The 11,368-nt window shown below is 33.0% G+C and overlaps 1 protein-coding gene across 4 annotated transcripts in view, besides 1 other annotated feature; it reads left to right on the plus strand.

The window, feature by feature from the left end:
• The window catches only part of RSRC1 (arginine and serine rich coiled-coil 1), a 435,642-nt gene that overhangs the window by 422,394 nt on the left and 1,880 nt on the right, over positions 1 to 11,368 (plus strand). For all 4 annotated transcript variants that reach the window (NM_001271838.2, NM_016625.4, NM_001271834.2 and 1 more), the window contains 2 exons: positions 4,610 to 4,716; positions 10,853 to 11,005. In NM_001271838.2, the coding sequence (NP_001258767.1) occupies positions 4,610 to 4,716; positions 10,853 to 11,005 (260 nt within the window). The remainder of the gene's footprint in view (positions 1 to 4,609; positions 4,717 to 10,852; positions 11,006 to 11,368) is intronic.
• Positions 9,878 to 10,095: a silencer, noted in NCBI's record as "fragment chr3:158260149-158260366 (GRCh37/hg19 assembly coordinates)". NCBI's record gives its function as "represses an EF-1alpha promoter that drives an FKBP-Casp9 reporter gene in an ReSE screen in phorbol 12-myristate 13-acetate-treated (for megakaryocytic differentiation) K562 erythroleukemia cells {active_cell/tissue: K562(+PMA)}" and the evidence as "EXISTENCE:reporter gene assay evidence [ECO:0000049][PMID:32094911]".

Consider the following 11,368-nt stretch of genomic DNA (forward strand, 5'->3'; position numbering starts at 1 on the left):
CTGTGTTATAAAATGTGAAATTGTCAAATATAACTTGAAGAAGCAGGAGAGCCTAATTTTTATACTATAAACATCAACAGTAACTAATACAATTTTTTAAAAATTTTTCATCACAAAAGGAAAGTGATTTTCTATACTTTGAGTTAAGTATTGATTATTGTGGTCTGTAATGACTTGGCTTTCTGAGTCTATTATTTTTTATTTTACTATGAAGTATATATCCCTTCCATTAACATCTAGCAGAAAACATTTTATTTACAAATAATATGTTTATTAAAAAATCATCAAGTACTAATGGTGTGTTTCCTTCATGTTTACCATGTAAATGTTTTAAAACATCCCATATTAATTCTCCCAGTAACTTTGTTACTTGTCTTTAATTTTACTTCATGGCTAATGAATACAAGATACTGTGTGTGTTGGGCATTTATGCAGCACATATAAACCATAACTCATTTTAAATCACATTTTCCCAATCTTAAAATTGGCACAAAATTGTTAAATGACAAATTGACATGAAAAACTTAAGAAACTGAATTTAAAACAACGTAATATATATTATTGATATGTTTTATTCTGCTTCCCAAAGTGACAGGGTTATACTCAAGACATACATTTGTGGTCACTGACATGAGAATTTTGAGTAAGAAGCAATTTAAAACATTTTTATGTCTATTTTCATACAATAGAGCTGAGGTACTGTAAAGCTGAAAATGTAAATCTCCTGTGAATCTTTCAAATTTTAATTTAACATGCGTTTACAACCAGTAAAATGATTCCCACATTGAAACAAAAAAGCTATGTTGGTGTATTTTCATATTGTGAGTAAGGCAAACTGGCTTTCTCCTATCTGCTCTGTCACTTTGTTAGTTCTGAAGTGATCTTTAAAGAAACACAAAGATAATGATGTTTTTCTGTAATCTTTCTCCTTCTTTCCTTTATAATTTTTCCAATGCTATTTTGTTAAGCATTGGTTTTGGCAAGCCTCTATGATAACACTTTTATTTGTATTAGGAGCTGGTTGTATGTCCAAATTTAAAGCTACAAACACTGCAAGCTTTAGACATCAAGTACTGTTTGTGAGGTCACCTCTGACATTTAATACTAATGATTTCCTTTACAACTCCAAATAGAGAATATGTTTAGAGAAAAAATTCAAGTGGTCCAACATTTCATTCATATGAGACATCATCCTGAAGTCAGAAATAATGTCTTTTGGTTGGGAATTAGTGACTGTGAAATAATTCTAGTGAAATTAACTAAGACCTATACAGACAAATGTAGTTTTCATATTGACATTGAAGTTGGATTACACAGACTAGTACCCATTATGACTTTCCTTTGCCATATTAACATTATTATATATGTAATTAATAAAAAATTTATCTACTTGTATGGGATGTGTTAATATTAATAAATTAGCTGGGCAAAGAATCTTCTCTCATTTCACATGCTCAATTAGTACATTGCATAATTAAAATCTAGAGGAGCTTTCATTGTATAAAGCATGTGGGACTATTTACTCTTACATGGCACTCTGACAGTGCTTGGTTTTATTATGTGGGAAGATATATTCTTCCAAAGGTGGGAGTATTGGCTGTGGTGGCTGCTACTTGCAAGCATTTCATTCTCATCTGATTATTTCTCACAAGAGAAAAGACTGGTTTCAGCTGTCAGGGACACATCTTCATAAGAGCCATCTTTCCCACAAATAGACTAGAACTTGCACAAGACTATAATCATTATAAATTGTGATTGGTCAAAAATTGAGACAAAGATTTTTTCAGATAACATTTTTGTTGAATGTATGAAACCAAATTTCCTTTAATACTCTTTATATTTATCTCTGTAACAACATTAAACCTTTCAAGGATAAAGCTGCTATAAAAATTAGTTTGCTGCAAAAAACTCCACCTTCGTGTCAAACCACTTATTACTATTGTTAAGTAAATGTGACTATTATCCATGAACCCTAAATCCCAAAATTTTTAAGTGCCTTAGCTGAGTATACAATCAATCCTAATTCAACTATGTCTTCATATCAGCTTAAAATGAATTTAAACAGCAAGGGTGTAAGTCATTATGTTACATTTTTTCTGCCCAGCTAGCATGTGAAAAAACTGAAATATAAAAATATGAAAATACAAAAATACGAAATTACACATGCACGTGGCTATTTATTAAAGCTGTAACTGTGAAAGCAGAAGACTAGAAACAACTAACCATCCATAGGCCATTCGTGGAAAAACCTATCATCAAACTATAAAATAGAATGCTATGCAATTATAAAATAGAATGCAGAACTCTCTTAGCTGCTATGGAGTGAGAGTGAAGAAATATTAAGTGAAAAAGGTAAGATACATAGTAGTATGTAGTATGCTAATTTTATGTAAGCAAGAAAAGAATATACTTATATTCTCAAAAATAAACAATGGAGGGGTAAACACAAACTTAGTAAAAATGGTTACCTCTAGATTGGAGTAAGAACTAGGGACATTCTAGACTTGTGAATGATGTTTTAAATTTTGACCTTAGAATCATGTAAATATTTTTTGCAACTAAAAAATGAATATTAATCACAAAGTAAGACCTAAAATATTTTTTCAATTAACTGAAACAAATAAACCTAATTGTATATCAAATTGATAGCATAATTATGCAGAGAATTATTTCATGACTTTAGAGCGTAGTATTTTAGCATTTCAGCAGTAGAATAAATCTTAAGGTCAAAGACCATAACAAAATTTTAAACTGTGTTAATACATCTTGTTATTAATAGTAATGTTTGTCCTGTTATTTTGAAAGTAATACATATACATATTAAGAAAAACAAATACACTTGGTCATATCATTAGAGCCTAAGATTTTTAGAGTAAGAAAAAAGATGTACAAATATAAAATAAAAGACTTTCAAAATCCTAAAATCTTTAATTTGATTGGTAGTATCAGCATGAACTCATATTAACTGTTTCCTTCTAAAAGTATGTACTTCATATCTCACGTACTGAAGAGGTTCAGAAGCATTGACAATTCAGTAACAATACCCCTAGTACCCAGATTGTTGTCTATAAATATTATTCTCCATTATAAAGAGCCTGGATTCTTTGGAGAAATGGCTAATTTCAGGTCTGGGACAGAAACTGTTCAAGATGATCCTACAACTATTATTAAGCCATAACTACTGGGGATTATATTGAAAGGATATAGGAATCAACTTCAAGAGGATCCTACTACCCAAAAATGAAGCAATTGAAGCATCAAAATAAGAAAATGACTACCATGGACTAAAGTACATTAAATAAACAAATATTCATGAACTCATAATGATCATCTTTGGTCACCTTTGGACCAAAATTGATAAATAAAGAGAAAGAATCAAACATTTATTGGGACTTTTCTATATAGGCTGTATTTCACAGTCACTGAATAGTTAATGAGGAAATGTTCATTATAGAAAAATCACAGCTGATAAATGTGGGAAGAATGATAGAGTATCACCATTTTACAACCTCTGATGAAATAATGGCTCAAAGCAACAAACAATGTTGCTAATTTGCTAAGTGAGAGATTAATGGAGAACTTTCTAAGGGGTCAGACTGACTCACCTTGTCCCCAATGATCAATCTTAACCACTAAAAGTAGGAAACGTGCATCCTGATATGATGTAGTAGGAATGACACAGCGTCACCTATGACATACTCTTCACCAAAAGAAATTGAACCTTAATGTAATTAAACCTATAGGTTTCACTAGTGGTTTACACAAAACATGGGAAATAGAGGAACATGTTAAAGAATATCATTAGAATAAAATCAGCCAGATCCAGAATCTAGAAACTTTATAAGATACATGATTCAGATTCTTCAGTAAATAAATGGCAATGAAAGGGAAAGGCAGTGGACTGTAAGTGATAGAAAGAGACTTAAGGTACTTACCAACCCAGTGCAATGTGTGGACCTTGTTTGGTTCCTATTTCAAACCAACTATAAAAAGACTTTTTTACAATTAGTGAAAATTAAATATGGAATATTTATATATGTAATCAAATTAAGGAATTATTGATAATATTTTTAGTTGTGAAAATGATATTGTCAAGTTACTGTTTGTCTTATTTAAGTTCTTATCTGTTGGAGATGCCTACTAAAATATTTAGGGATAAAATGGTGTGATGCCTGGGATTTATTTTTAAATATATCAGATCCACCCAAAAAAATTGAGGTGGATTTAGATAGATAGATTAAATAAGAATAACAGAAAGTTAATGGTTATAGAAGCTGAGCATTGAGTACAGGTGGATTCACTGTGCCCTTATTCCTTTTATATGTATTTCCATGATAAAATGCTAAAGTTTAAGAAAAAGTCCTCCCACCAGATTAGCTGAGATCATTAAGGCAGTGCCTTCTTAGCAGTGTTTTAGGTTTTGAGTATAAGTCTTAGTTCATAGGAATGTTATATTTGTGGATCTCAGAACAAAAGAGTTTCTTGTTATAGCTTAATTTATAATGTCTTTTTATCCAATTAAATTTCTTCATAGAAAGAACATTGCTTAGGTGTAGTGTTATTAACATGCTTACACCAAAATACGCTGACATTATACCCTCTTTTTCAGACCAAGCCACCCTGGTAGAACAAGTAAAAAGAGTAAAAGAAATTGAAGCTATTGAAAGTGATTCTTTTGTTCAGCAGACATTCAGATCAAGTAAAGAAGTCAAAAAGGTAAGTTTTTATCCACCCATTATGAGTAAACCTTTGGATTCTACCTGAAGAGATGCTTTATTAATGGATTTTACTTAAATGTGTTTCTTCTAATAGATGAAGTGAAGCAAGAGAGTGTCAGCCATGTTGCTGAGAGAGAGAAAACAAATCAGGGAGACTCAGTCACTTTAATACAAGTTTAATTTGTATAAAAAATGCTATAAAATGTGTCAGATGTCATTTTTATTTTTAAATTCACCAAGAATACTAAGTAATATGTCAACAAGATAGTTCTATAACAGTAATGCACATTTCTTAACATACATGGTTTTCTTTTCAAATGTGTACATCTACTTTTTGAATTGACATTGCTAGAGAAAAGTTAGAAAAGGGCTTTAATAATAAAAACTAATACCCATATTGTCACATATATCTTCATTCTTTGCCCAGATGATTATCACTTATTTGGCTGTGGTAAAGGAGCTTTGATTGACATTTTACTTCCATTGAATATTTTATTCTTTCATTCATTAGTAGGACTGCTTTTAGGAATTAGGTTTCTATAGTAGGAAAAGGCATTCTAGGAAATACATGTATTCTTTAATAACATTCATATAATGAAAATATGGTTATAATTAACACTCTAAAATATTCTACATCCATAAATTGTATTAATGGCTGTATAATATCCTGTTGATGTCTCCTGATGGTTATTTTTCCTCTGTTATCAAATAAGTAGTTTTAACTTCAGAGATTTTAAGTACATGTTTATTATCTTTTTAAAATAAAATTTTAAGATGGAATTACTTGTTAAAGGCTAACATTGTTTTAATACATGTTTCCAAGTCACCCTCTGAAAATATTCTACCAATTCAAATTCCACCCAAAAGTTCAAAGAGATATCTGCCTCCCACAGATATCTTGGTTAACACCAAATCCTATCGGGTTTCTCATGTTTACTGACCTAATAGGTAAAAATTGGCCTGTTTCCATTAGCACTTCTTTTGTTATTAGTGAGATTAAAGTCTTTTCAATTACCATATACTTTTTAAAATAATTTATTCAGGAGAGATATATTGAGCATATACTACATGTTAGGCATAGGACCAGATAGCCCTGGATAATCTGTGGTCCTTGCGTTGCCATTTTGTTGATTTCCTTTGAACTTTTGATAGTTTGCCACCACAACTCCTAAAAAAATGGGGCTGTGAAATAGACATTCATAAATGTAGTTGCCCATTTTATTTAATCTTATTCTTACATATTATCAGGCCATTCATATATCCTAATGGAATTACTATGATTTATTTTAAAACTTGCTTTCCTAATATTTGTTTGTGAAGTTTACCCTGACATCCCAGTTTTTATTGGACTCTCTTATGATAAACTAGCATTTTCATTCTGTAGAAATGCTTATTCTTCCACAGTCAATACACTGGGTTTTCTACTAAACAACTCTTTCTCACTTGGTACTAATTGTTAATTTTTCCCTTTAAACTTATTTTCAAGTCAACGCCTCCAAGAAAGCATGCATTGAAAGGTAGGAAGTGGTGCTAACAGGAGAATATGCTATAAAGCTTCATAAGGTGGCATTTATCTTGGTGAATATACAGTAGTCTGAAGTCTTACTGGACTTTTATTAGTCACTACACTTCAAAATGATCAGAAGATCAGTGATAGTCTAACAATGAATAAATTCACACTTGACTGAAATATAGAACAAAGGGACAGTTTATTACTTTAGAAAGTGATATCCCTTCCTAGATTCTAAAATATCTATATCTGCAATATAAGGCAAGGATTCAGGATGCCCAAGAAGCTGAATTATTAATGAGGAGATTACTTAGCAAAAGGAGGTAAATTATCTTGTGGACCCTTTTATCCAGATCATGGAAGGATATGATGGACTATCCCTAATGCATAGCAAGGATTTAACTCTCTTGAGGACTGAGTTACCCATGATCCTAGTTTCAACATATTTTTCTCCTGGACAGTTTTATACACTTTGATATAAAGTTTGTATCCCTAAAAAAAGGCTTTTGTATGCTGGCCACCCCTTCAGTTGGTACCGTATTTGTTTAGCTGTGTTAATTCCACTAATTAAGCTAGGGAGCTTTTACCAGAAAAGTGGCTATTACCAGTGACATGCTAGACATTGTGTCTCCTGCAACACATATTGATTTAACTAGTTTTACTCTCTGAAATCGTATTTCTTTTGTCTGAGTAAATAGAGAATCTGATAGTCCCTGATATATCATTGAGGAACCAAGATGCAGCTTGTTTTCAAACTTAGTATGAGTTATTCAACCCTAATGTTGTTGTATCTGGCAGATACCCACCTGTGTTCAAAAGAAGGGTAAATACCCCTATGCAGCATGGTCTTTTGGCCTACTTGGAAGTAGATTTTAGTACTAATTTTTACAAACTAAACCACCAGGTGGCAGCGCTACTCAAAGCCATATATTTCATAGTAGCCATTTTGAGGTTTTGTTTTATAGTCAAGGGAAAATTTTATCTTACAGTTTTTCTCACTTAAATAAAGAAGCAATTAGTGGTTCTCTCTACAAATTTTTAATTGCCCGTTATTAAACAATAACTTCCATGCTCTGATCTAACCTCTGAGAGCTTCACCTTCTATTATGTGTAAGTACTTCTCAAAGAAATCTTAATGTACTGTGTACGTAAAAACAAGATGAGATTGCTTGGTTTATATGGTAGAATCTTATCTCTGCTACCTGAAGAGGTGGTATCCACATCTTTGATAACTAGAATAATAGCACTGCACATATTTTTAAGGCAGTTTAACATGAAAAGTGTCTCCTAGCTAAGCCCTATCATGCCATGGCTAAGATACGCAGAATGATATGCTCTTACAGTCCCCGTAAGGCAGTATAGACTACCAAAAATCAATGTCTTGAACCTCTTGGATTAGCGTATTTCCCACTTGCACTTGTGCAGAATATTGGGCTTTTTAAATGTTCTCAGTTGTGTAAAGGGTCAGTATAATATCACTTAGGGCCACAAACCATCTAGGCACAGTGTGTTGGAGACATACAAATGTTTGAGACTTGGCAAAAAAAATTGCTGACACCAAAATATGAGAATAAAGCTGCCAAAACAAATTGAATAAATATTTATTTAAATGTCTATAAAAGTTAATATTATCATTAACACTGGCATCATTGTTAGATTTAGTAGTCATAAGCATCTTAACATTTGAAAATAATTTATAGATTTCTCTTACTTTGTAAGAATTCCTAAACATACATGACTGCCCAGATATCTATCCCTCAGATATCTACCCCTTTTGTCCATGAGGGAATAAATCTGTCCTATGAATGCTGATCAGCTTCCATTAGAATAAAAATTAGAGTATTTTAATTGAATAAAACACATGCCTTAAAAAAAAAAAGTGGATCTTGATATCATCATCCCCAAAATAGCTCATAACTTGTCTCCTCTTCACAATCCACAGCCACCATTTAAATCCACATCATCATCTCATTCTTTAACTTTTATAGTAGCCCTCTGGTTGTTCTTCCTGATTTTCCTTTTGCATTTATCTAGTCCAGGACCCATTCAGCAGCCAAAACAATATTTTTCAAGAATAATTAGACTTTACTGACCATCTGACCATTACAGAATAACTGGTACCAAATTTGCCCTCCCACCATAAACAGCTATAGAACTTGACAAGATGTGTAAGACATTGTTTTCAGGAATGTAACAATAGGCAGCTCAGGAGGGTGATCCTTTGGAGAAGGGAAATAAAAGGTGAGCCCCACAGTTACCCAGCTTTCTGTATGAGGGCACTTTCCTGCTGTGGTGCTGGGAAGTGATACCCATGCAGAGTGGTGATGTGGCTGTGTTAAGGAAGAAATACCCCAAGTTCTGGCCTGCAGTGTCTCACTGTCTTTTTGCTCACTATACACCAGCCCCTCTGGCCTTTTTTCTGATCTTCAAAGACACCAAGCCCTTCTCTCTCAGGATCTTTGTCTTTTCCCTCTGGCCAGAGAACCATTCTTCCTTTTCACCTGCCTGGCTCCTTCTAAGTCTTCAGGGCTTAAATTTCACCTCCTAGAGAAGCCATCTCTAGCCACCCAATCTAAAGTAGATGTTTTTCCCTTCCTGATCCCCATCATTCTTTGTCAGCACCTTGTATAGTCCTTTATAGCACATACTACAATTTGTGATTATGCATTATTTTGGAATTTATTTGTTTATAATCTGTCAACTCCATTAGCAACATATAATTGCCACTTGGGACAGGAACCATATCTATTTGATTCTGCCTGTGTACCCAGTGCTTAGCAATTAGTAGTGCTCAATAAATACTGGTTAAATAAATGGATCTCCAACTCTAAAACAAATTAACCTAAGAACAGTTTAATTCATGCATATTTTATCCTCTGTATATTTTTCTTAGTGACATCTGTTTTTGGCTTTGTTCAGAGAAGTGAAATGTTCAGAATTATAGATAAGTTAAAATAAATGGAAATTGAAAAACAATAGGTGTGGAACAAATGGGTATAAAAAAGGCTACATAACAATCTCCTATTCATCTTGTTTTTTTTTAATTTTACTTTTTAATTTCAGCTTCTGATCTAATCCATTTCATATTATCCCTGTAACCTTACTGCTAATCAGTCACTCCTTGGCCTTCTTTCTTAGGGAAGAAGCTACTGAAATGTAACTAAGTAAGCACTACTCTGCTGGCTCCTTCAAGGCAGAAACAATGATTTATTAGTTGTATCCCCAGCACTTGGTACAGTGTATCGCACCTGGTGAATACTCAGTAAAGGTGGAATAAATTGGGAGTCTATGGTTTGCATGATGGTATAAGAAATCCTAGAGTTTTATTTTTTGCCAAAGATACATCGTACCTTTTTTTCAAACTTTTATATATATATTTTAATATTTTAAGTAGCTCCGAGACAACCTTTGAGTTCATCAACTGATGAATGGATAAATAAAATGTGGTAGATCCATACAATGGGACATTATTTAGCAATAAAGAATAATGAAGTACTGATACATGCTGCAACATGGATGAACCTTAAAAACATTATGTGGCTGGGCACGGTGGCTCACGCCTGTAATCCTAGCACTTTGGGAGGCCAAGGCGGGCTGATCACTTGAGGACAGGAGTTCGAGATCACCCTGGCCAACATGGCAAGACACCGTCTCTACTGAAAATACAAAAATTAGCCGAGTGTGCATGGTGGTGTGCACCTGTAATCCCAGATACTCGGGAGGCTGAAGCAGGAGAATCACTTGAACCTAGGAGGTAGAGGTTGCAGTGAGCCAAGATTGTGCCACTGCACTCCCACCTGGGTGACAGAGTAAGACTCTGTCTCAAAAGAAAAAATTATGCTAAATGAAAGAACCAGTCATGAAAGACCACATATTGTATGATTCCTTTTATCTGAAATGTCTAGAATAGGCAAATCCATAGAGAAAGAAGATTAATTGTTACCTAGGATGGAAAGGTTGGAAGGAATGGGGAATGATTGCTAATGGTATGAGGTTTTGTGGGGGATGATGAAAATGTTCTAAAGTTGATTCTGGTAATAATTGCACAACTCCATGGATATGTGAAAAGCCATTGAATTATGTACTTTAAAAGGGTAAATTGTATGGTATATGAATTCTATAACTCAATAAGGCTATTTTTCTAAAGATAACCTTTGAATTTACTTTTCATACCTAAATTGGCCAACTAAATGTTGGATATTTGTTGTAAGCTTGTTTTGATTAATAGAATTTAGATATATGAAATATATGTATATTTCAATAGTATAGGCACGTAAGTACCAATTTCTTAAGAAAAATGTGCTTATCATAAGAAATGATTGACATTTTCTCAGCATTTTTCTATTTGTTATTCCTAAAACAAATACAATATAGTTATTCCTATATTCTATTTCTATATATCTATAACTATATTCCTAAATATAGTTATTCCTAAACAAACAAATATAAAAATAAAATAACTGTATTTCTAAAACAAACAAATACAAAAAGTAGGGCCTTTTTGGAGATGGGTATCATCTCAAAGGAGACTAATTGAACAGTTGTTATTCAAAATCAGAAATATTTTTGAAGTAAAACTCTAATTGTGTATTGTGTTGAAATTAATATGTGTTGTTTCTTTCAGTCAGTGGAACCTAGTGAAGTGAAACAAGCAACTTCAACATCAGGACCAGCATCAGCAGTTGCTGATCCACCCAGTACTGAAAAAGAAATAGATCCTACCAGCATCCCTACTGCTATCAAGTACCAAGATGACAATTCCCTGGCCCATCCAAATGTAATATCCTTAAACTTTACGAATGTCAGTTGAAGTCTAATTTACTGAAATTATTTCAATCTGTTATCCTTTTGTGCTAACACCAAGGAGACCATTGGAGGAAACAGGTTCATATTCCCTTGCTAAAAATAGGCATCTGGCCCCCAGGCCTTTAGAACTGTTATCTATATTTGAATACAGTAGGGTCCAACTCATGTTGCCTAACCTGTAGAAGTATTCTGTCTATGGTTAAGAAAAATAGACAAAGAGAAGCATTTTTTCCTTTTTTTTTTTTTTAGCTGAATTGATCAGCACCATGAGAAGTGTTTGTTTAAAAATCTAGCACTAAAAGTTCCATTTCTGAGCTCTACTTTGTTCATTATC

This window comes from Homo sapiens, chromosome 3 (assembly GCF_000001405.40).
Source record: "Homo sapiens chromosome 3, GRCh38.p14 Primary Assembly".
Taxonomy (NCBI): Eukaryota; Metazoa; Chordata; class Mammalia; order Primates; family Hominidae; genus Homo; species Homo sapiens.